The sequence below is a fragment of the Homo sapiens genome, chromosome 6 (assembly GCF_000001405.40).
Source record: "Homo sapiens chromosome 6, GRCh38.p14 Primary Assembly".
NCBI classification, from domain to species: Eukaryota; Metazoa; Chordata; class Mammalia; order Primates; family Hominidae; genus Homo; species Homo sapiens.
This window is the reverse complement of record NC_000006.12, coordinates 13,608,618-13,633,979: the sequence shown is the minus strand read 5'-3', so window position 1 is coordinate 13,633,979 and position 25,362 is coordinate 13,608,618. Positions and strand designations below refer to the sequence as shown.

The 25,362-nt window shown below is 39.8% G+C and overlaps 3 protein-coding genes and 1 long non-coding RNA gene across 36 annotated transcripts in view, besides 1 other annotated feature; 2 read left to right on the top strand and 2 right to left on the bottom strand.

The window, feature by feature from the left end:
* Positions 1–12,482, top strand: part of RANBP9 (RAN binding protein 9) — a 90,338-nt gene extending 77,856 nt beyond the window's left edge. For all 4 annotated transcript variants that reach the window (XM_011514205.3, NM_005493.3, XM_047418032.1 and 1 more), the window contains 3 exons: positions 1,459–1,610; positions 8,216–8,327; positions 11,488–12,482. In XM_011514205.3, coding sequence (XP_011512507.1) covers positions 1,459–1,610; positions 8,216–8,327; positions 11,488–11,618 — 395 coding nt within the window. In that variant the 3' untranslated portion in view covers positions 11,619–12,482. The remainder of the gene's footprint in view (positions 1–1,458; positions 1,611–8,215; positions 8,328–11,487) is intronic.
* Positions 1,510–18,645, bottom strand: NOL7 (nucleolar protein 7). 2 transcript variants are annotated; one of them, NM_001317724.2, is made up of 9 exons: positions 18,356–18,645; positions 18,208–18,268; positions 17,459–17,517; positions 16,179–16,210; positions 15,841–15,922; positions 13,651–13,772; positions 13,495–13,572; positions 13,124–13,226; positions 1,510–1,587 (listed from the first exon to the last, which is right to left on the bottom strand). In NM_001317724.2, exons 1-8 carry the CDS (start codon positions 18,619–18,621, stop codon positions 13,153–13,155), a joined length of 774 nt encoding a protein of 257 aa, NP_001304653.1. In that variant the 5' UTR covers positions 18,622–18,645; the 3' UTR covers positions 1,510–1,587; positions 13,124–13,152. The 2 variants fall into 2 exon arrangements, with proteins under 2 accessions (NP_001304653.1, NP_057251.2); NM_016167.5 differs by lacking the exon at positions 1,510–1,587 and having other exon boundaries at positions 12,268–13,226.
* A 132-nt stretch (positions 18,646–18,777) lies between these two features.
* Positions 18,778–24,714, top strand: LOC124901263 (uncharacterized). Its single transcript, XR_007059461.1, has 2 exons — positions 18,778–22,571; positions 23,167–24,714. It is a non-coding gene; the product is annotated as an uncharacterized LOC124901263 (long non-coding RNA).
* Positions 18,822–25,362, bottom strand: part of SIRT5 (sirtuin 5) — a 40,885-nt gene continuing 34,344 nt past the window's right edge. For 19 of the 29 annotated variants that reach the window (NR_164854.1, NR_164853.1, NM_001376798.1 and 16 more), the window contains one exon: positions 19,873–22,190. Coding sequence is in view for 23 of the 29 variants with exons in the window: in NM_001376809.1 (NP_001363738.1) it covers positions 22,072–22,190 (119 nt within the window). In the remaining 6 variants the exon portion in view is untranslated. Of the gene's footprint in view, positions 22,191–23,125; positions 25,138–25,362 lie in introns of those variants that run through there. The other 10 variants (NM_001193267.2, NM_001242827.1, XM_047418515.1 and 7 more) reach the window with 2 other exon arrangements.
* Positions 19,263–19,432: an enhancer, noted in NCBI's record as "active region_24038". NCBI's record gives its function as "activates an Ori minimal core promoter by ATAC-STARR-seq in GM12878 lymphoblastoid cells {active_cell/tissue: GM12878}" and the evidence as "EXISTENCE:reporter gene assay evidence [ECO:0000049][PMID:35858748]".

The window sequence follows — 25,362 nt, the reverse complement described above, 5'->3', positions numbered from 1 at the left end:
TAAGTATGACCTCCCTCACCAAAAAAAAAAACCCCACCACCAACAAAAAAATTATGTGGCTCCAAGACACATTAGCATGCATAATTTTATTTTGTAGACAACTTAAGTAGTAAATTGCCTGTCCCATCAGCAAACTATCCCATCAAATGGAGAGTGAAAATTTATTTGTTGGATTACATTTTTTCATTTATTTGTTGGAATTCCATGGCAATGTTAGATTTCTTATTATTTTGAGATTGAGTGGTATTACTAAAATTGTTTTTTAAAAAGAAATGCAGCTTTGTTTTACTCTTCAATATCAGCCACCTCAGTTTCTGAAGAGTAATTTAAGTACAGTGATAAAGAGCAGGAGTTCTAGAGCCAGATTACATAGATTTGATTTCTGCAAAACTGCCATTTACTAGCTGTGTGACCTTGGAAAAATTACTTAACTGCTCTGTGTCTCAGTTTCTTCATCTGTAAAATGGGTATAATAACGACCTCATAAGTTATTGTGAAAGTAAATGAATAATCCAAAAAGCTAATAGCACAAAGTGCTTGGGAAATATTAACCATCATCATCGTCATTACCTTATTTTTAATGACTTATAAGTAATTTATACAGTTAAATTATTTTATCAATCAAGATATATAAAACTATTTTCTTAGCTGGGCATGGTGGCTCACGCCTGTAATCCCAGCACTTTGGGAGGCCGAGGTGGGCGGATCACAAGGTCAGGAGTTTGAGACCAGCCTGACCAATATGGTGAAACCCCATTTCTACTAAAAAATACAAAAATTAGCCAGGCATGATGGCGCGTGCCTGTAATCCCAGCTACTCAGGAGGCTGAGGCAGGAGAATTGCTTGAACCTGGGAGGCAGAGGTTCCAGTGAGCTGGGATCACACCACTGCACTCCAGCTTGGGTGACAGAGTGTGAGACTCCATCCAAAAAAAAAAAAAATTATTTTTTCAAAGTGGTATTTTTCTAAAAGTAGTGCATTTAATCTTTTCAGTTAGTATAATATGCTGTCTTCTGTATTTTTATTGTAGTCATTTAGCTTTTCTTAGCTTTCAGGAGCATTTTATTACATCTCTACTACGTCAGTTAAGGCAGCCTGAGTGGCATTATTAACAGTTTTCCTTTTTTTTTTTTTTTTTTTAAATGTTGCTTAATGTAGTTTTAGGGAATTATACTTTTTCTAAAATTTTTTTCTGACATAAGTACCCTCTAACACTGAAAGGTTGTCCCCTCTCAACTGCATGCTGAATACTGGATCCTAGACTCTTGAGAGCTAAATAAAGTATATCTTTTAGCTGCAGTTTCATATTAAAAATGAATTTTTAACAATCTGCATATTTAGATGAAATATTAGGGAATAGTTACTAAATGTACAAAATGGTATAAGAAATGTATGTTCGTGTCCTCATTATACTCCATTCCATAAGGTAGTAAAATACTTGTCTGTTTTTCTTACAGAAGTTGATTCAAGTCAGTTGAGACGCCAGTTGTGTGGAGGAAGTCAGGCCGCCATAGAAAGAATGATCCACTTTGGACGAGAGCTGCAAGCAATGAGTGAACAGCTAAGGAGAGACTGTGGCAAGAACACTGCAAACAAAAAAATGTTGAAGGTGAATATATTTTTTCTTGAAAAATTATGAATATGTCAGAGGAACTAAAATGTAGTTTTGTGAAACACTGAGCAGTGTACCAGAAATTCTTGTTAGGGAACTGGGACCTGACCTTCCCCCTGGCTCCTTGCCCATCTGAGAGTGGAAATATTTGATGAAGTTAGGCAGTTCTGATCTACTGGAAAGAGCATTGGACTAAAGCAAAAAAAAAAAAAAAAAAAAAAAAAAAAAAAAAAAAAAAAAAAAAAAAAGGATTAAATCCCAGTGCTAGTGCTTATCAACATTGTGTGTCCTCGTTAACTTAGTTTCTTAGTTTTATTTTCTCAGCTGTAAAATCAGCAGTTACTAGGAGCAATGTGGGCGTGCAGATAAAACTATAGGTCTGAGATCTCATTTTAGTAAATGTTGTTCAGGTTTATAGCATTTTGGATGTATAACACATGGTTCTCATTTTGATGGGAATTAGTGAAGAATTGGGTCACTTTTCATGGCCAGAATAGTTAAAATACATTTTAAAGTCTCTTCTGGATTGTTGTCCATGAGCTGATAGGATGGATACAATCTAATTCAGTAAAGTAGCCACAGTTTTGTGTACCAGTTGAAGGTGGAGGGGCTTTCTCCTAACTTAAGTCAGCATTGCAGTTGTAGAGATGTACAGCTCTTTAACAGTTGGTTCATTGTAAACATTTTCTTCTGAATATTTTGGAAGAAGACTGAAATTAAAGGGGAGATGAATGCAGTGGCCTTGAGACTAATGTTTGGGTATGGTAGGAAAGGGCAAGCAAAAGATTCCTGCCGCTGTTTCTTCCTGACCTGGACTGAAAGTTAGTACAGGTTGAGTATCCCTAGTCCGAAAATCTGAAGTGCTCCAAAATCTGATACTTAAGAGTGCCGACATGATACACAAGGATATGCTCATTGGAACATTTTGGACTTTAAGATGAGAGATGCTCAATTAGTAATGTTTTAACATTTGAAAAAATCTGAAATCTGAAACATAGCACAAGTGTAGGACATAACATGCTTGCCTGGCCTAGGATGTGTTATAGAGCACCTCAAGTTAAAGGCATGCAATCTTGTATTTTCCCTAGCTGAGATGGGAAGTCAGGTGTATTTATCATACTTTGAACTTCATCTACTCCATAGTATAAAAACTGCTGTTTCTAGTGGTTACCCTGAGCTATCAAAAAAGTTAAATTATTTTTATGTTAGATAAAAAATAATTGATAATTGAAACAAGTTTAATTTAAAAAGTCAAATCAGGCCGGGCGCGGTGGCTCACACCTGTATTCCCAGCACTTTGGGAGGCTGAGGCGGGCGGATCATGAGTTCAAGAGATTGAGACCATCCTGCTAACACGGTGAAACCCCGTCTCTACTAAAAATACAAAAAAGTAGCTGGGCCTGGTGGCGGGCGCCGGTAGTCCCAGCTACTCAGGAGGCTGAGGCAGGAGAATCACTTGAACCCAGGAGTTCAGGTTCAGCCTGTGCAACATAGTGAGACCTTGCCTCTTAAAAAAAAAAAAATAGAAAAATGAGAAGAGTGGCATTGCTTTATATTTTTTTGTAAGTCTCTTTAATGCTTGGTTTAATAGGTGAGCTGTATTCGCATACAGACCAGACTGCCTTTAGTCTGTTGTGGTATCACATGTCTTGTGCCTCTGGAAAATTCCACTATATAGTCAGAGGAAATGAAAGAGAAAAGGGCAAGGAACATCTTAGTACTATTATACAAATAATTTTGACTTCACAGATCCCCTGAAAGGTTTTTGGACCCAGGTGTCCCTGAATCATACTTTGAGTACTGTTGTTTTAGGGCATATTTGGAAATAAAGAATTTTTTTTTTTTTTTAAGAATTCTTAAGACTTTTTTTACACTAGGTCATCTGACTTGGTTTTCTTTTTAAAACTTTATGCTAATTGAGCAGGATGAAATACCTTTGAAAATTTAAGATTATACTCCATTAGCTTACTTTGTGTTTGATTCTTATTTACATGAAGCTCAGAAGATGGCATTATATGGCCAATTCTCAAAGATATTCCTTGGTTATATACTGAATTGTGTGAAGATGTATCATCTTTATTTAAAGAGTATAGATGTCTTTGATTTTGCACCTCTAACTTCTAAGCAAATGCCAGCTACTTTCAGAGACTTTCTTAATACTCTGAGCTGCTTCCATCTCATTTCCCAAACTTATCTTGATCTAGATAGGGATAAGGTGAGCAACTGACCCACCTTATATATAAGTAGCCAAAGAACAAGGCCGGATGATTTGAGGGCAACATGAAGAGAAAACAGGTTTAGAAATCATTCCACTTCTTTTTGTCACTTCAGTTCACTTGTAATTGTAGCATTTTTTAAAATTGTAGCATCGTTTTTAGGTTTGCATAAACTTTGAGTCATGTGACTCAGAAGTTCATGCAAATACACACACACACACACACACACGAGAGAGAGAGAGAGAGAGAGAGAGACAGAGACATGAGAGAGAGAGATTGAGAGATTTGATTAATGTTGAAGGTCAGGTGGCACACTGTTTCTCTTGACCTTTTTCCTTTTAGTTTTTTCAAAGTCTTCTTTCCTCTTTTCCTGTTGTCTTTGTTCCTTATCTGCCTACGTCTTCCAGTGGCTCCCAAAAGAACTCTTGAATTGTTTGTTGAGCAGCTGTTTATTGAATTTTTGCAGTGTGGAGAGGCATTGTTGTAGGGACTGTGGAAAGTCCAGTATGAATGAACAGCCCCAGCCTGCAAGGACCCTTTAGTAACTGAAGTAGCAAGAGAACCATTTAGAGTCACCCTATTTAGAAACTGCTCCAGATTCTAAACCAAATATGAGTACAATTTGAAAATCCTACCTAAATGATGTCACATTTCCCTCAGAAGTTATTCCACTGAGGTAATGTTTTTTGCTTTAAAATAACCCATAATGCTACATATTTCAGGTATTTTCAGTTTTGTGCCTTAACTCCCATGTGCATGTATCTTAACTAGCTAATAACTGTAGTGACACTATTTTGTATTCTGTTTTGTCATAAGAATTTATTTCCTCCCAGTTTCTATGCATTATTTCCAATTATTTTTAAATAACTACACGAGGCTGGGTGTGGTGGCCCACATCTGTAATCCCAACACTTTGGGAGGCTGAGGCAGGAGGATTGCTTGAGCCCAGAAGCTCGAGGCTGCAGTGAGCTGTGATTGCACCACTGCACTGCAGCCTGGGTGACATAGCAAGACCCTGTCTCAAAAAAACAAAAAGGCTCAATGATATTTTATTGTTGCTGTATAGGTTTATTTCAACATTGCTCTGTTGTTGGATTTTTCCATTTGCTTTTATGTCAGATGCTTTAGTGAAATCTTTATACATGTATCTTTGTTTCTTAAATTATTCCACTGAGATAAATTTCTAGAAGTAGAATTGAGTCAAAGAATATGAACATTATTGTGGCTCTCACTGCATGTTGCTATACTGGTTTTCAGAAACCCTTTACCAACTTTTACCAGCAGTAATGAAGGAATGTACCAATGGCACTACTACATTAATGCTACTTTAGCGGGTTTAACATATGTTAGTATCTTAAAATTGCTTATTTGCATTTCTTTGGTTATCATCACCAGTTAACTTTTACAGCAGGCTTTAAACCATTAGTATTGTTTTGCCAGTTTCATTCATTTTCCTTTGTGAAGAAAGAATCAAGTCCTAGATGTTTACGACTGGGAGTTTGATGGTATAAACCATTTTTTATTTTTAAGGCTCTGTTAGTTTTGTTGCTTACAGCTTCACTCTACTTCCAAGCCATGTTTTATAGTGTTTTTGTGTGATCCTTCTAAAATTAAGTCTAATCCATATTGGTTTCCTTCATTTAAAACCTTATTTCCTTATTGGAAAAACTTGAAGCTTTTTAGTATGTTTTTTGGGGTATTTTAGCTCCTAACCCCTACCCATGTTTCCAACCATGCTTTTTTCTCCTTTCTCTCAGCCTGAGTTTGCATGTATTAAGTCAATAGTAATGTACTGTGTGTTATTTATTTACATGTAAGCCTTTTCTTGAAGCAGTGACTAGGTCCTGGTCATCACTGTATCCTCAATATCTGACAGCTGTATGTTGAACTGTACTGAAAATGAAATACCAGAGAAAAATTTTAGATGTTTTTTCTTCTTAACATTTAGATTGGTAACTAAAAGAATCTGCATCTTACTATTCACTGCCTCAGTTTGCTTCTCTAGATGATAGACATGATAACAACTTTAGATGATTATTGTAAGGATTAAATAGATGATCCATATTAGTGCCTAAAACACTTCTTCACACAATATTAGTGCACAATACGTTGTTGTCATTTTAAAGAACTTTTTCTCTGAGTTTTTAAACACTGCAGTGTAGTAGTATTTTTTTTTCCTTTAAGTTCCAGGGTACATGTGCAGGATGTGCAGGTTTGTTACATAGGTAAACGTGTGCCATGGTGGTTTGCTGCACTAGACAGTGTAGTCTTAATTTAAGATTTGGGAGTGCGACATTTCACATTTTCGGTGGTGTGTTAGGATGTAGGCTATGAATATAGTTTTGTACTTGAAGTTTTTGTTTACCAAGTATTCCTTGGAAAAATTGTTCAGTATTTCTTTTTAAATTTATCTGTACTATGGGTATGGTACCCTCATCAGATGGTTGTGGGGTAAATTAAGTCTTGAGCAAAGCTCAGTCCTTAAAAATAACGTGATTTTTTTTTTTTTTTTTTTTTTTTGGAGATGGAGTCTCTCTCTGTCGTCCATGCTGGAGTGCAGTGGCGTGATCTTGGCTCACTGCAGCCTCCGCCTACTGGGTTCAAGTGATTCTCCTGCCTCAGCCTCCCGAGTAGCTGAGATTAGAGGCATGCACCACCATGCCTGACTAATTTTTGTATTTTTAGTGGAGATGGGGTTTCACCATGTTGGCTAGGTTGGTCTTGAACTCCTGGCCTCAAATGATCTGCCTGCCTCTGCTTCCCAAAGTGCTGGGATTACAGGTGTGAGCCACCACACCCGGCCAAAAACAAAATAATGTGTTTGATTTGAGTTAGCTTTACAGGATAAAGGGTCATATATTCTTTCCATGGGTTGGGAAGTGTGGGTTGGGTTAGGGGCGGGAAGTAGAACCAAGTAGCTTTGTGGGATGCATAAAACATCTTCATTGCTGGAAGAAGCAGGTCTTGCTCTCAACAGGCATATGAATTATCTTCCTGTACCAAGCACCTGCATAGCTTCAGGGGATTCAAAATAGTATAGTAAATAATTTTTATCTTCAAAGAACTTCTATTGTAATTGGAGGAGAAAACTACCCAGAATGAAATACTCAGCAATATAAAACAATGGAGGAGCCATGTGTGTTTGCGTAGAGGCACGTGTATTCCATGCCTTGTGGTCTCAGACTGACTTCACAGCATTTCTTCATGGGTTATTCTTCTTTAAATCCACAATATTAGAGGCTTATTTGGATGAGAAAGGGCAAGAGTACAGTTAATCAGAAGCCTTTCCCCCACCTCTGCTTTCATAACACTAGTAAGATAACTAGAGAAATGATGGAAAATGGGTGTGGAATCTGGTTTTTTGAGCAGCTGAACCTAGGAGATGGTGCTCTTTAGGAATTTCAGTAGTCAGTATTTTCAAAGTGTTGTGTTCCTGAACTCACAAATTGACAGTTTCTGCAGCAACTCTCCATGTCTGCCTTCCAAATTGGTAAGAGTGTTCTGAATTTCTCTATTTTTATATTTGTATAATATTGCTCTGGATTAGGGTATTGACTTTTGGCATAATAATAAGACGTCATTTATTGAAAGATTAGAATGAACTGATACTGCTAATTTCATTTAGTCCTCATACAAATCTAGGAAATAGGGCCTCTTATAGTCCCCATTATGCAGTAATGAAACTGGCACTTAGATTGTCAATTGCCAAAGGCTACACAGCCAGTTAGTGGTGGAGCTTGGACTTGAAGCCAGTATCTGAAACCACCATTAGTATGTGCCTCCCATAGAAAGAAGACAAAAAATATAAAGTAGTTGTTTGAAAAGAAGACGACTGTCAGTCATTTTAAGTTTTGAAGAGGTGTGGCTTGAGATAGTTGGAAATACTGAATGCATAAACAGGTCCTGAAGGGCAGCCTGTTTAATTTTTTCATAACTGAATTTGAGAAGATGACATCCCAGTGAGATGTGTCCAGTTCCTAAATCTGTTGAAAAAAGGAAATGCAGACAGGCCCTGTCCTTTGACTGTCACATTCATATCAGTAGTAATAAATTGTGAAGTAAAACATCTGAATGTTTTGCCTTCCACTCTCCCTACACCAGTACTAGTTCATTCCTTTGAAATTTTTTTTTCCTGTTTTGTGTTTAGGGATGGGAGGAAGTTGAATGAGAATGGCTGTCCACAGGAAAAATGAAAATAAATTAGGCTTTGCTGCATAATTTAATGTTCAAAAATGTAGAGCGTCCCAGTGCTGGGAGTAAATGGGTTTAAAGTTTACATTATTAGTCTGTGCCTGGAAGCCATATTTTACCTCTCAACTTGGAAACATTTGTGAGCATAATAGTTGAACTATTTGAATTAAAACCAAATCGATGTGTTTTCAACAGGATGCATTCAGTCTACTAGCATATTCAGATCCCTGGAACAGCCCAGTTGGAAATCAGCTTGACCCGATTCAGAGAGAACCTGTGTGCTCAGCTCTTAACAGTGCAATATTAGGTAAGTAAAGCCAAATAAGGCACAATTTCAGTTAGATTCTCTGAAAATTTAAGAGAGGGTGTTTGTACTGGCATTTACACTTTGGTAAAATCATCAGGAAAATGTTTTCTATATTTTTAAAATATAAAAATACCTAAAATATAGAAACCCCCTCCTTTAATTCCAGATTCAAGTGGATTTAAATAGAATAAAAACAGTAAGATGGGGTACAACTTGGGATGTTTGGGAAATAGAAGTTTTTGTGTGCATGTATGTAAGCATTTCTGGTAGCCACGAATGTCTACTTCTCTCATTAGAATGAGAGATTTGGTGGTCCTTGTGTATAATTCAAAATACTACCCTACCAGAGACATTCCTTACAGCCCTCTTTAGTGAAAGGCATTTTCTGCCACTGATTTCTAGGCTAGGAATTGGGTGGCATTCTCTCGTTTGGCTGCTGTAGAAGGAATCGGAGAACGTTAAGAACATAGATTAATAATTGTCACAAGAGTTAGGCTAGAAGGGAACAGGGTACATTTGAAGAAAAGAGGTCAAGAAAGGTTTTGATGGAGAGAATGAAAATGGAAGTAAGGGAGTGAAGAGCTTGAATATCAGAGAAGCTCAAACTGATCCAGTAGAGGGCAGGATTCCTAGCTGGTCCTCCCCTGTTACCTGGTTCCCAACCATTTTGCTTGAGCTAAATTTGCAATGGGTAGCAGCAGCCTAAGCCACTGGTATCACAGCTCCCACCATGCTTATGAATATGGGCACAAGGGGCTTCCTGATGACTTGTGAGTACCCGGCAGGATCAAGCCTTGATGTCACATTCTATTTGCATTTATATTAGCCGGATTCAACTACATGCCCTTACCCAATAAAAAGGGTGGGTGAGGAAGAGAAAAGCAATTTAAAAGGCGAGGCTTAGCCAGGGGTGAGCATCAAGTGCGAAACGCTAATTCGATGTTCGTTTGGTTGCCATTCCTATGAGCAGCTCACTGTAGCGTTTGTGATTATAGTATTTATATACTGAACAAGTACTTTTTATATGAATTGTGTAACTGCACATATTGTGCATTTCTATATAAATGTGATAGGGTCGATTGTTTACATAAAACAAGTTTGAGTTTTGGGCAGTTCTCATCAAAGGTAATTTATATAAAGAGTGAGTTTTCATTTGACTTCAGAGTCTAATTCCCAGGTAATTGGGACTCCAGTCTAGTTTAGAAGTCTGTGCTGTGCTGTTTGGCCCTGCAAGGTTCAGGGACTTTTAGTCACATATTTCAAACTAGTTTAGGAAGATGAGGGCAGTGCCACAAAAAGTAGATTAAAGAGTAGTTTAGATAGGGAGACTTGCAATGAGGGCCAGGACTCTTACAGCAAGAATGTAAAGGAAGCAATGAAAAGCATTCATATTTAAGACTCAGTCTGTTTCTTTGCCCTTAGAAAATTTATTAATTTGTTAAGGACCAATACTGAAGTTTGGGAATAGGAGTAGTGTCCTCAGTGTTGTAGTTCTCCGGAATTTAGGATTTGTATATAAATGTGAATTTTCTTTGGTTAATGTGTTATATTTTCATTGGTTCTACAAAATTCATTTAGCTCCGTTGGTAAAAGTAACTTAGTAATAATGCTGGAATTGTAAGGAAAATTATGGTTTACTATAAATGTCTTTTTGAAGTTATATTGTAGGTAATCATTAAGACCTAATTATTAGATGATACTAATCTTTAAAGTGACCAGTTTTCTTACAATTTAGTTTCTTGAGTTCTTCAAGGGAATTTAATTGTTGAGCACCATTATCTATAGACACATATACTCTTACATATTGTGCTATATTATGTAGATTCAGCCATAAATAGTGCTTAATCTTATTAATATAAATGTATGCGATTCCTGTAAAATTAATGACACAATTATTAAACTGCTATAGATGGGCATGTATATGTTTATAAATACCATGCTATATTATGTAGGTCCATCTATATAGTGTTATGAAAATTTCATACATCCAAAAAAGTTAAAGATGCATCGCCAGATGCTTCCTTTGGCCAAAATAAAATTAAAAAAATATTCCCTGTAGATGTTTGTCTTTGAGCACGGTCTTCCCTGTGAACCCTCAAGACACCACACTTTCTCATCAATCTATGTGCCCTTTTTTGCACACGTTTATTCTTAATCCTGTTTTTGTTTTCTCTTCTACCTTTAAGTCCTGAATTTGCTTCTTTCTGATATTGTGCTTTTTCCCTTTTGGAAATTTCCTCTTCTTTCTTCCACCATCAAATTGCATCCTCTGAACCAAGAGTGGAGTTAAACCATATGAAGCCTTCCTAGCCATGTGTCAACTGTTTTTGCCCTTTGTTGTCAACTGTGCCTATAAAGAACTGATTAGTAATTTTATTGATTAGTTTGGACATTGCCTTCTCATAAAGAGAAATTACCAGCTTCTGAGTCTGGCCACTTTTACCATTAGTTCATTTTTTTCCATCTCTGGCAAGGAACAAATTTTGTTAATTATTGCATTTGTACTACAAATGTCTGACAAAGAAACTTATGATATGCAGGACCCTGAAAATTTATTGGCATTTTTTTAAATGTCTGAACTGTCCACTGTAAATTAGCACCTCCAAAACTGTGGGGTGGCTCTGCTGTATGTTCTCTCACTGTCACCACCACCACTTACTCCCCACCAGCCCAAATAACATTACCTATATATGCCTTGGAGATGGCTAGGCAGCCTGTTTGGTCCTATCCACAGAGGTGGAAGAACCCATCAGTGGAAACTTGTAATGAAAACCTGGTGCCTTTTTTAGTTTTAGTTAGTATCAACTGACTTTGATCAACCAGAAGGGAAATAATTCCTTACTCTCCACTCCAAATATCAGATAAAAAATTGTACCTTTCCCATCATAGTTAATATGGAAGTATTTTAGTATCTGATACTTTAAAAGTCTGATTCTGCCAGAGTTTATCTTATAGTTGAATACACAATACCCACACTACCTTGTCAGAATAGTATGTCCAAGGCGGCATCTGTCTTTTGCTTAGAAACCTTCATTTGCTGATATTTCAGAGTGGTATGGGAGTGGTAGTTTTTAAAGTCATTGCAGTATTCTCCTGATTGAAATGTTTTTTAAAATGTCTTGCTAATTGCTGTTCTCATTTTTAAATTATTTTTCCTCAGAAACCCACAATCTGCCAAAGCAACCTCCACTTGCCCTAGCAATGGGACAGGCCACACAATGTCTAGGACTGATGGCTCGATCAGGAATTGGATCCTGCGCATTTGCCACAGTGGAAGACTACCTACATTAGCTATGCATTTCAAGAGCTCACACTTATATTGTGGCATATAGTCAACATGGAAGTAGACCAGCTCTGCTGATTTGAAATTTAGATTTTTTAAATTATGTACTGGGGACAGGTTTTTGTCGCTTTACATTGCTTCCTAGTTTACAGCATGATGCAAATGATTTTCTAACTTAGTGTTAGGAGAAATTATTTTCCATCTTTAACCTCTTAGTTGTCTAAGAGTTAAATATTACTGAATTTCAGACGTTCAAATTGATCATCACAAATCCTTTAAAACAATTACCTAAAAGAAACCAAAAATCCTGCCTTCTTTGTGGGGGAGGGGGGAGAGAGGGGAAGGAAATGGAACAAGTTGTGTTTGTGTTAGCATGTGGGTGATGTAAACTTCAAATTGGGAGATGTTCCGACCCCCACTCCCATATAAGCATTCAATCAGTGTAACTTGCAAAATGCATAAACATCCGACAGTTTGAATTTATAGTGTTGATGGAAGAAATCATTTTTAATGTGTACTGTAAAACTTGAAATACTCAGGAGCTGAGTGAATATGTTTGTTGCTACTTACAATCCCGACCTGTTAGTCCCAGTAGTTTTGTTTTAACATGGTCTTTTTCAACTTTGTTTCCTGTTTAACTACAGATGACTTCTGTTGTAGACTCACAAGTTTAACTGTTGTATTATAACAGTATTACATGTCAACGGTGTGGTTATGACCTTTATTTATATAAAAACCAAATATTTAGTCAATTTACCGTGTCTTAATTTAATCTTTGTACACCTTCCATTTTTAAGTGCTTAAATGAGTACTATATTGCAATAAAATGTAGTGATATAATTAACCAGCCATTAAAAATTTACTTCTACAGATACAGTGTCAATTGAGTTTATATATTAGGTACTTGCATACTTTTTATGATTACTATGAAAATTAGAGCAATTAAAATTAATGGTTTCTACAATTAATCTGAGTTCTACAACCTAAAATTGCCTTCAGTTTACTGGCATCCCTGGATTAGGGTTAGACCTGATATTGTGGCTGACACAGAAAGGCAACAGGAAATTAACTTCATTATTTTCATATTCATAATATGGCATATGAGACTCACCAGGCAAGCAAATCCCCAGACTGGTTAAAAGTAAAAATTTAAAAGCTGTTAGCTATATTTTGTGCACTGAATCTTTAATAGCAAATTGTCTACAGGCTGCAGTTAGAGACTTTGCTGGAATATCCATTTCTCCTTTTAGTCCGTGCCATTTTTGCCACCCCTCTAACCCGGGGAGAGTAGAAGAGGTGCTGTTGCTGATGTGGGTATGGCTTGAATTCAGTTAAATATATTAAAAAGAAAACAATTCCTTCTTAAACCACTTTTTCCTCTAGGATTGCAAGGCACAGTTCTACTCCAGAAGAATGAAATGTGGTTGAGCACTTCCTCAAATAGGTTTATGATTTTTATAATGATCCTTTAAAATGATCTATGAATGATTTATTAGATAAATTCTATACATACAAAGTACAGATTCTTCATTTAGCATTGATTTACTTCTTAGTTTTCATCTTTCTGACCATCCACCGTCTTTTAAACCTCTTGGCATTTTGTTTTTTTTGGATTCCTAGAATATAAAGTTTTCTGCAGTAAGTATATTAGAAAAACATAATTCAAAATTTTTTTAATTACTCTATATGAATGTAATTACTAAAACTGGGTGGGCTTATTATACTTTAGATGTATATACATACTACATTGACCTGTTTTTCACAAGTAACTTAATATATAAGCCATTATAAGGGGGAAAAGTATAATTATGAACTATCTCCTTCAAAAGAACATTATTCAACATATAAAGCTATTAGAGACAGGAGAATAAAGCTGGATCTTACCCCAAGCATTATTCAAAAACTGGACAGCAGCTCTTTTCACTGGTAACCTCTTGTTGGCAAGAGACAGGAACTTATTTACTAGAAAAGAAAGGTATTTATCATTTCACAGTTTTATTTGCAGTAAAAAGTGAGAAAAATAGTCCATAAAAAAATTACCAGTAGTCCTGTTGGTTCCTGGCCCATATAATGAATTATGTATGAAGGCTTGTGCTGCTTGTTGCCTTGAATCTCTCAGATCTTGGTCTTTTAGCCTTACGGCCAAGTAGCTTTTATTCTGGCTGTTGATCAATATAAAAGGTTAAATAAGAATTACACATGCTTACTTTCTTTTTTTTTTCTTCCTGAGACAGAGTCTCGCTCTGTCACCCAGGCTGCGCGATCTCAGCTCACTGCAACTTCTGCCTCCCAGGTTCAAGCAACTTGCCTGCCTCAGCCTCCTGAATAGTGGGATTACAGGTGCCTGCCACCATGCCCAGCTAATTTTTTTATTTTCAGTAGAGACGGGGTTTCACCATGTTGGCCAGGCTGGTCTCGAACTCCTGACCTTGTGATCCACCAGCCTCGGCCTCCCAAAGTGCTGGGATTACAGGCATGAGCCACCGTGCCCAGGCTACATGCTTACTTTAAAATATTTTTATCATTTGTCTCATAGTGATAAATGAAACTAATTTTATATATGCACAGATAGGATAAAACTAAATTACAAGGACTACAAGAAACAGACACTCATATTTTAGTAGAGCACATGGTGGTTTTGTTCATCAGTTGAACAATCAGCATCTCAGATAGATCCAACTGAAGAACTTGTTCCTGGACTTTTGTACTAAAATATACTAAAACCAAAAGTCAAAACATTAGTTAACAGGAAATTGTTCGGATACATGTAGTAAAAGAGAATTGACAGCATGATTTCCAAATCGATTGTGCCAAATAAGTTTTTCCAAATGAAAAGTCCAACATACTGTGATGAATTCCTCTCATGGTCTTGCACTTTGCTTTACATTTGTTTCTATATTTGATCTTGTGGCTAAAACACCGATTTGCAAGTAATGATTTGGACCACCAAGCTGTACTGAATGCAACTCAAATGAATGCCTGTGGACTTCAAGACAGATACTACAGACATCGTCCACAGTATCGGCCAAAATTCCAGTAACAGCAATAGGCACTTTCTCTGTGACTTCTGTAGACCATAAGAATAGAAGATAAGGCCATATTGTCAGGGAAAGGTTGAATTTTGTGAAAAATGACTCCTTTTGAAGAATTGCCATGACTGGCAATAGTGGTGAACAACCTTTCCATTGGAATGACTGTCTTTGCATCAGCACCATGCACCATAAGGGCTGGTGACTGGAGGAACATTCAGCAGCCAGAAAAATTAAACTGCCTGAATAAGAGTAGGCTGGCAAGTTTGAAGTGCTGACAGTAGGCTGCAGTGTATCTTGAAATAAACATCTATCTATTGGGAGAGGTGAAATGAAATTTTCTCAATAATAAAACCACTAAAAAAAAGTTTTTGAACTTAACCTGCAGGACCTGCAAAGACAAAGTGTTCAACTGATCTTTATTTTTTTATGAAAACCGATTTTTTTTTTGAGACAGGGTCTCACTCTGTCGCTCAGGCTGTAGTGCAGTGGCACAATCTCGCCTCACTGCAGCCTCGACCTCCTGGGCTCAAGTGATCCTCCCACCTTGGCCTCTGGAGTAGCTGGGAATACAGGTGCACACCAGCACGCCCAGCTTACTTTTTTTATTTTGTGTAGAGACTGGGTTTTACCATGTTGCCTAGGCTGGTCTTGAAATTCTGGACTCAAGCAATCCACCTGCTTCAGCCTCCCAAAACGCTGGGATTACAAGTGTAAGCAAACATGCCCGGCCCAAAATTGGTTTTTCCACAGAGACGACAATCTGAAATTACTACTAATTAAAATATTTTCCCGGCCGGGCGCGGTGGCTCACGCCTGTAATCCCAGCACTTTGGGAGGCCGAGGCGGGTGGATCATGAGGTCAGGAGATCGAGACCATCCTGGCTAACAAGGTGAAACCCCGTCTCTACTAAAAATACAAAAAATTAGCCGGGCGCGGTGGCGGGCGCCTGTAGTCCCAGCTACTCGGGAGGCTGAGGCAGGAGAATGGCGTGAACCCGGGAAGCGGAGCTTGCAGTGAGCCGAGATTGCGCCACTGCAGTCCGCAGTCCGGCCTGGGCGACAGAGCGAGACTCCGTCTCAAAAAAATAAAAAAATAAAAATAAAATAAAATAAAATAAAATATTTTCCCATGTTAGCCAATACTTTAACTCTCTTAAAGGTCTCCTTTACATCCCAAATGAAACAAAAGACTCATTACCTGACAGACTGTACTTTTTGTACTTTAACTTTCTTGGAGTCATTTCCTTTTTCACAGTCTTCATTTTTCTTTTGCAAATTAACTAAAAAATAGAGTTACATTTTCTAATTAGCATTCACGTAAAAATAAATCAGGAAATTTACTGGAGTTCACTTTAAGCATCCACTACACACCAATGTGGATGCAGTTTTTATTTGTATGAAATACAGGGAATAGGCCCCAGCTAACCTTGGCCAGGCCCATGCTGGCTTTCTAAGGGCCATTCATATTTGACTGGAAACATCTGCAAGTGCACTTGACACTTACATGAGAAGTTAGTTAAATTAGAATAGTCATACCTTCTTTCACCTTTCCTGGCGATTTCTTGATGCTAAGGAAAAAAAACAAAACCACTGACTGCAATGGCAGTAAAGATTACTCAAAACATGTTATATTATTTCATTTGCCTTTACAAGTAAGACACCCCCTTTCATTACCAACACCCTCAATTTCTACTCAGGAGCTCTCATCAGTTTGGAAAGCAATAGTCACTCCCTAGTACACTGCCACCAACTCTCAAGCATTGGAAGATCTTCACAGTTAAAATCTGAGAGCCTATTAGCAGGCTTTCAAAGCAGCAAAATGCTGTGGGCAATGGAGTTCAAGTGAAACACTTGTTCAGAACAAGTTATAAAGTATTTGAAATATGAAGTGAATGGGAGTAGGTCTGCCTCATTTCATTTGGAGAAATCACAAAGGATTAATTTAATAGTTTAGGCACAGGAGACAGGGAACAGCCTCAAGGGGGCTGTGGCCCAATGGAGAGAGAAATGTAAATGGACAGAATACAATACAGAAGCATTTGCACAGGAGAAAGGCCACACAAAAGCGGAAGTGATGGGAGGTGGGGGGGGGCAAATGAGAAGGTAAAGGTGACACTTGAGCTTGGTTTTAAAAGATGAAAGGGAATTTGCCACCAAATAGATTTGCTCTTACGTTTAATGTATTCAGGATCTGAGTAACTCTTTGGTAAAGTTTTTTTACTGAAAACTTGAGAGTCACTGGCCTAAGCAAAAGGGGGCTGAATTTCTGAATTTAAAGCCTTAAGGGGAGAAAAAGAGGATAGAAAAAAAAAAATTTAGAAGGCTAAATTTAGTAGGGTTTGATCAATTCCCAAAGACGACTATAGCTTTTCGCTTTAAACCATAAAACACCAAAGATGCTAAATGAAGTGGGGAACAGGAAGGACAGGTTGGTGGCAGGTAAGGCAAGTATGGGACAAATCAAGTTTTCAGAGCCTGTGGATAAGTGCCTGCTACCCCACTAAATGATTCAAAACACTTTTTATTCACCACCACCCACTATGCCCTAGTACAATGACAGGCAGTCAACAAAATGTACTGAATGAACACAATGGGATCAGGAATTCAAAAGCTAGCTATGGGAATGAACAAAAATAAATGGTAAAATAAGAAGTAGAACGTTACCTCCGTCTTTCCCATCAAATTCATATACCAAGGTAGCTTTTGAATTTGGGTTCTACAATTCCTTCAGTTATATGGATTCAAATAAATGTACCAGTATATAATTCAAAGATGGGTGTATATAAGCAAGTAATATAAAAAGATCCATTACTTACTTAGTCTGTGAAGCTGTGGTTAACTTCTCCAAAATAGTGTCTGGAAGGAGTTTTCTTTTCTTTTGGAATGAAAACGTTTAAAATTAATAGAAAGTCATGTACATAGTATGTCCGGAGTTGCTTCTGAAGTTACCGCTTTTAAGAATGCCCTACATCTAGGCAAAGAAATGAATTAGGCTGGAAACTGCCCCCATACCTCTAAGCTATGGGAAGACCGGGTCCACAAAACTCCACATTCTCTGAAAGACTTGATGAAAACTAGAAAGGGTGCCCACGGTATTCTAACCCTCAGGTCACTGTTATAAATTGAAAGCAGTTAAGTAATGTCTGCCTGGAGCCAGCTCTCTGTGTCGAGTATCAGACAGCAAAGCAACCATACACTAAGTCTGTACAGCCCTTACAGTTTACAAATCACCTCATTTAATTCTCACAGCAACCTCTTATTTTCAGTTGGTGGACACTAAAGGAGACGAACTTTTTTTTTTTGAGACAGGGTCTCGCTCTGTCGCCCAGGCTGGAGCGCAGTGGTGTGATCTCGGCTCCAGGCAGCCTCGACATCCCGGGCTCCGCCCACCTCGTCCAACTAAAGTACTGCCGCGCCCGGCCCGAGCATCTTTCCACCACTGTCAGAGGCAATCTTGGTGACTGTTTCCCCACTCCAATATCCTGCCAACCCAAATTACATCCACCATAGGAATTCTCCCTGAGCCGAGTTGTTTTAATAAGACACCTCCTCCCTAGCCTCTAACCTTCTGTTCGATGAACAGCTCCTCGCGTCGCTTCCTCTTCTCCTTCAGGAGCGTTTTATCCCTGGGAGGAAGGGTGATAAGTCAGCAAAGGGAAGGACAAGCGGGACGAGAAAGGGCGGTTCTCCCCGCCGGGCAGCGGGCTCCGAACCTGCGCACGGTCTCCCGCACTCGCCGCTCCTCTTCTCTCGCTTCCGCCTGGGCGCTGGCGAAAGTCAGCTCCTCCGGGGCCTCATCGTCAAACTCATCGTCCCCTTCCTCGTCTTCCTCCAGGGGCTCGGCGGCCGCGCCGCTGCTGGGCTGCCCGAGCAACAGCCCGTGCTCCGCCTCCTCCTCCTCCGAGGCCAGCTGGCCCTCGTCCACCATCGCCTCCGCCGACGCCGGGGCGCGAGACGCTCGCGGTCGGAGCTGCACCATGGCCCACGCAGCGCTAGACCGTCTGACCTCTGACCCGGAAGCAGCTACAAGCGGAGCGCAAGCCTACTTTCATCGCCCCCTGCAGGTTCGGAGGTCCTCAGGACGGGTGGGGCGCATGCGCGAAGGGAGGAAGGGCGTGGCCTGTAGGCAGTGGGCGTGTTTCTTTCCACGTGGCCAGCGCAGGCCGCCTTGGAGCCGGATGGACCCCACGGAAAATGCTCTGCCGGCGAAAGCGGCTGGCAATGGGGTTGATTTCAAGGCAGGGAAGAGCCATCGCGCTGCCCTCCTCGGCTGGGATGGCGAGACAGGGCTGGCACGGCTCACGCTGTCCGGTGCTCAGAAAACCGGTAATCGCGGGCCCGAGGCGCTGCTCGCCGCCGTTTTTTGGCCCTGGGTTCCGTCGAGTGGATCCAGCTTGTCAGTCTTTGTGTAGATTTGGCTGCGTTCGCTCCGCACTTCGGAGGAGGTGGCGTTTCATGGGAAGAAATGCGCTCTAGCAGATGGCCGCCGTGGCCAGTCAGCCCTGCTGCCACCGACGAAGACGCGGGCGACAGACCTGGACTCTAAAGAAATCTGCACAGACGTGCCCGGCGCCCTCGGCCTTCCCAGCTCCGCGGCCGCAGCGACGCCGGTTAGGATGTCGGCCCTGTGGGAGGGGCGCCCTTCCTGGTGCCGGGCCCTAACCCACGACCTGGAACAGCAGCTGGCCCGTGGCAAATGCTGAGCATATCTCCTGAAAGAATGGCTTCGCCGGTCCCTAGAGAATGCACCCGAGTTTTGTGGTATATACACATACGTACTTTTTTTCCAAGTATATTTTATTTCTTGGCAAACATGGCCCTTTGTGATCGCTGTGTTTCTCTCCTCCCATCCATTATACAACACTAAGTGATTCATCATTCTTTGAACAAATCAAACTGTTTCACACCTGCCATGCATTTGTACCGACCGTGCTCTTCCCTCTACTGCCGCAGCCCCCCAGGTAGAAGTCCTTTTTATACTTCAAAAATTCCCACCCAGGCAAATTTCAAGCACCTTACCCCTACCCCATCCCACTCTGCCCATCTCTAATTGCGCTGGTCTGAACCCGCACAAATGTCTGTGTAGTTTCTGCACTTCATAACAGCTTATATGACAGTTGCTCCAGCCATTCTGTGAACCCCTGAGGGGAAGGGCCAGGTCTTGCTAGTCATTTTATTTCTAATGTCTATCATCTGGTAGATGTTTAATAAATGCTAAGTTGAATAATTCTATCTTACACATATATTGTATTTTTAATTCTCTTTTCATGTCTTCTGTTTTAGAAGCAATTCTCAATTTAAAAACGACAAAACCAAATAGGAACAAAAATGATAAAACTTGAAAACAACAACAACAAAAAAAGCTGCTGAACCAGAGGTTCAGTATGAGAGGAATTGCAAAGAACAGTTTTGAAATCTCTAGGCCTTAGTCAGATAGAAATTACAAATCAAAAATATAATCAGACTCCCTGAGACACTAACACTAGGAAAATGAATAAAGTTAACTTGGAGCAGCCCAAGAACAAACTTATAAGTGCATGATGGTATTTTATGTGCAAAACTGCTTTATAAGTACTATAAGACTATTACAGGTATTACCAGTGCCCTCAGTGTAAACTCCTTGGCCCACCCATGTAAAGTGTACATCGAGCCCTCAGGGTCCCTGACTGGTTCTCCAGCCGCCCCATAGGCTATGAGCATCCCCGTTCCCTACACAAAGGACCACTGGGATTTATTAAAGGTTATGCCTTGCAATGCAGTACAAAGTTTTATATGATAGTGTCTTGTTGCCTGTTTCTACAAAAGCCAAGGGTGTAACATTAAATGCAATTTTGCAAGGGGCTGAGGTGATGTGGTCCAAGTATGTAATCACTTCAGGGAGCCATATGTGACCTTCATACACTGTTGATAATGGCCATGCCTCCCAGTCAGGCCTGTGACACCTGCTGGACAGCAGGCATTCCAAGGCCCCTAAGCACTGAGTTAGCTGGTAAAGGTTAAGGAAAAAGCTGTATTCTTACTACTTTACTCCAAGGTAGTAAAGTGTATGGAAGATGTACCTGACAGAAATAACTTAAGCATCCCCTGAGAATGACCCTGTATGGCAGATGCATCTGACAGCAATAACTTAAGAAGTGAGGGTTGCCACGTGGAGGCTGCTGAGGGGAGGGTGCTGAGTGAAAGTGCTATGTAAACTGCATGCTTTTTATAAGTGGTTGCAGTTCTGTCCAGCCCGCGGCCACTGGACCACCCTGTAAGGTTCCCCAAATAAACCCTATGTTTCCTTCACTAGCTCCAGGTCTCTTCTTTGGCCTCTTGAACCTGGTGCCATCCCTACTGAAGTTAACAGAGGTCTGGCCCAACCTAAGGGCATCATTTTTTAAAGTCCCATGGAAAAAACTCCCAGCAGAGTTCAGCATCTGGGAACGGTTGGCAGGCCCCACAGGAACCACAGCTTCTGCCTTTATGATGCTGAGAAACACTTCACTGTTGACTTCCCCCATCTAAGGGGGCCAGAGCTAAATTTTGGGCAGCTGTGTTTATCCTGGGGGTCCACATATTTGCATCATTCTTTCTTCTCATCGTGATGTTCTACCTTGTTGGTACTGTTCTCTTCCTTCTTTGTGTGAGTTCCTGTTGTGAGCTTCCCCTTGTTCACTGAGGTAATGTAGCCAAACAAGGTTAAAAAGCCCCCAGTAAGCCGGGTGCGGTGGCTCATGCCCGTAATCTCAGCACTTTGGGAGGCCGAGGCGGGCAGATCACCTGAGGTCGAGAGTTTAAGACCAGCCTGACCAACATGGAGAAACCCCGTCTCTACTAAAAATACAAAATTAGCTGGGTGTGGTGGTACATACCTGTAATCCCAGCTACTCATGAGGCTGAGGCAGGAGAATCTCTTGAACCCGGGAGGCGGAGGTTGCTGTGAGCTGAGATCGCACCACTGCACTCCAGCCTGGGCAACAAGAGTGAAACTCTGTCTCAAAAAAAAAAAAAAAAAGTCCCTAATAAAGCCATATCGTGGGGTAATGTCTTTATACAATAAATTACCTACTGTAGAGTGTGATTTTATTTTCCACTAAAACTTGTGCAAAAATCAGAATAGTAGGGTTTTTACCCCTTGACTTCTACTTTGCCCAGATAACAAAAATATAATCAGAATAACTATTTTTTTTAGACAATCTAATTTACAAAATTTTTCCCTCCCAATAACCAACCATACACATCAAAGATACCTCACGTTTCAGTTCAAACCAAATAATATGAATTAACTTTCCAGTTCTGTGACTTTTGAATGTGGGTGCTCTTTGCTACTTCTAAACCCCCATCACTTATCAACAGGTTGGATTCCAGCGAGGGAATCAGAGGCTATTTTTAGATTGTTCAGTACTCAGCTCACCACCCATAAGACCATTTCTCCTCTGCGTGTGGCCTAGTTCTTAGATATACTGTAATTTCTTTCTTCCCCAGGACACTTAAGAAACAGTTTCATTTTCATGACAGGCAAGGGCTTCAGGAAGAGTCGTTCCACAGGGTCCCTGGAAATGAAACCTGAAAGAGAAGAAGCAAATACAGCAGTTTTGAACTACAGGTTAGCAAAATGAATGCCCTACTTCAGCAAGCACTTATTTCTGAAGTAATAGCCGAAGTAAAACCCAAATTCTCATAAAGATGGTATTATGAATTTCCATGCCCACTTCTTTCAACTAGCTTCTAACAACTCTAGTTATAACACTTCACTATGGGCTGGGCTCTGTGACTGGGGGAATTTTGAGAAGCAAATGTCTAGAATTTATGTGCCATAAAGAAGAATTTTATTTCAAAGTGTAAGAGACATGATTACAAAGTGTATTCTGTTTGTTTTTTTCAAATCCTGAGAACCTATGCAAGTAAAGTGTATTTTGGGACTGTACTGCCAAACTCATTGAAATTGTAAGTATAAAATATACATGTATGTGTGTTATATATGTATTTTATATACATATATATGTTTTATGTGTATCTATATAACACGTATGTTTGGCATGTTATATATAGACACAATACATACTTTTTTGTGTATATATGTGTGTGTATATATATGTGTGTGTGTATGTGTGTGTGTATATATATATATATATATATATATATATACACACACACACATAAAACATTACAGCAGCATTCACAGGTAGTACTGAGAACAAGAGAAAAAAATACCCATGCACTATCTGACCACTAGGATCTCAGCTAAGTCAACGAGCCTCTCAAACCACCTGTTGAACTTTCTGACTAGCTTCTGAGGTGTAGTTAGAAAAAAGAGAAAGAGGAAGGAGAAAAAAGAAGAAAAATCATGGACTTTTGTTTAAAAAAACTATGAATAAGAAGCAAAAGCAGGACTTCCTCATGCATTATTAAAAGAAAACCAGTTGAGCACAATTAAAAATAGAAAAGGCATTTCCTCAGTGCAACTCATTTATATTATTTATTCTTGATACAATACAAATAGTGACTGCCTTATCCCTCAAATGCTTTGTTCTATCAACAGAGTGCCACTTAATGGACAGCCCAGACTACACGGCATCTCCAGTCCGTCTGCCCCCTGCCACGTGCTGAGCACTGACTTCCAGAAAGTTCCAGGCCAGTATGTGGTTATCCAGGAATTACTGCCAGCCATGGGGAGCGTTTAGGGAATTCCCAGATCCTCAATTTCCACCTCTTCTCTTTCTTAAGTGATTTCAAGTGCCCCTTTCCACATTCAGCCTTCTTCCGCCTTACAAAAGCAAGCTGGACCCCTCACCCATCCCAAATTTTACAATGATACCTCATCCCCGAGTGTGAAATAGAGGGAGTGTGAAACATATGGAGTACCAAATAGAGGGACGTCTGGAATACTGGTGTAGATCTGACACCTTCATATGTAAGTAGGCTGGTTTCATTCTTGCTTTCAATAAAGTTGAAAGAGGGTCGGAAAGGATTTTCAGTGAATAGATCGCTAAGTATGATACAAAATTACTCTGTGTATTTTGGCATACAACTTGGAAGGTGGTCCAAAATTGGAGTGGCAAGGCTATACCAAAATTTCTTTCATGGCTGGGCATAGTGACTCATGCCTAGAATCCCAGCACTTTGGGAGGCTGAGGCAGGAGGATCGCTTGAGGCTAGGAGTTCAAGACCAGTCTGGGCAACATGGCAAGACCCCGTCTCTACAAAAAGGTAACAGTAAAAACAACCATGCGTGGTGACACGAGCTTGTAGTCCCAGCAACTCCGGAAGCTGAGGCGAGAGGATCACTTGAGCCAGGAGTTTGAAGCTGCAGTGAGTTATGATTATACCACTGTACAGACTCCAGCCTGGGTGACAGAGGGAGCTCCCTCTCTTAAAAAAAAATAATTCCCTCATGCCTAGAGTTTAGGTGGCCCAGGTCTTTCAGTACTTACATCTATAAAAAACAACACTGAAGATTACAATTGACATTGAAAAAGTAAAATTTAGCTTGGCAGGTCAAAATCTGCCCAGCGATTCTTTGGATCAGAATAAAAGACACGGGTAAAGCCAGCTGCCAAGTTAATAGGAAACAATATATTTTCCCCTAGGACAAGCTGCAAAATGTCTTAATTCCATTCTTTGAGTGACTACTGCTTTTGGATTTTGTTCCTTAATATTATAAACTATTGGAAACATTGCTATTTGAAATTATAGCAGTAAAGAATGAAATATTCCTCTAGCCTTGAGGATCTAAGTCACTTTGATACTGAGAAGCAGCCTGGATTTCCAACCCAGGTGCAGAGCTTCAGATAAGGGATTTCTGGACACAACATTCCACGTTGATCTAAACTTGGTATTATAGTTTCTGGGGAAGTGGGACCCTGGCCTACTTTGCCAGCCAGACATGATGTTGACCCCTTTACATTGTACAGCCCTGCTAGTTGCTTGAGTCTATCAAAAACTACTTCATTCAAATTTCACTTAAACTTCACCCTCCCCCCAATTGCTTTAATAACTCCACCTTTCCCTTATTGGGAAACACTTCTCAGTTCTACGGGGGTCCGGTCTCCCTCATTGCATTAAATCAATAAACCTGATCTTGACAGAATACCGGTTTGTTTATGGTGACTACAGGAGGATTGGGTTAGAACAGGAGGAACTGTCTCCTTCCAACAATAGGTAACACTCAGCCATAGAAACATGGACCAATTAAAAGTTTATGCCCCATTCATCTATTAAGGATATATTTCCAGGCCAGGAGCAGTGGCTCACGCCTGTAATTCCAGCACTTTGGGAGACCGAGGTGGGCAAATCACTTGAGGTCAGGAGTTTGAGACCAGCCTGGCCAACATGGTGAAACCCTGTCTCTACTAAAAATACAAAAATTAGCTGGTCGTGGTGGCAGGCACCTGTGATCCCAACTACTCAGGAGGCTGAGGCAGAAGAATCGCTTGAATCCGGGAGGCAGAGGTTGCAGTGAGCTGAGACTGCACCCTGCACTCCAGCCTGAGCAACAAGAGCAAAACTCCATCTCAAAGAAAAAAAAAAAAAATCCAATAAAATTTTACTTGTTTGGAATTATTAATCTACATTTATATGTATTTTTTGTTTTTACAATTATGCACTGCAGATTAGTGATAATTCTATCTAGAAGATGTTTTAGTAAAGCATTTTTTAACATTTTAAGGAAATTGAAAAAATTAAATAATTCATATGATATTTTGCTGTAGAAGTATAATAGGTAGTCAGTAAAAGA

Excerpts from the sequence above, each read along its gene's own strand:
- NOL7 (NM_001317724.2), bottom strand. The coding sequence starts at position 18,621 with ATGGTGCAGCTCCGACCGCGAGCGTCTCGCGCCCCGGCGTCGGCGGAG. Across the intron at positions 18,269-18,355 it reads GTGCGGGAGACCGTGCGCAG|GGATAAAACGCTCCTGAAGG; the intron begins GTTCGGAGCCCG and ends CCTTCCTCCCAG. Across the intron at positions 16,211-17,458 it reads ACCACAGCTTCACAGACTAA|CATCAAGAAATCGCCAGGAA; the intron begins GTAAGTAATGGA and ends TTTTTTCCTTAG.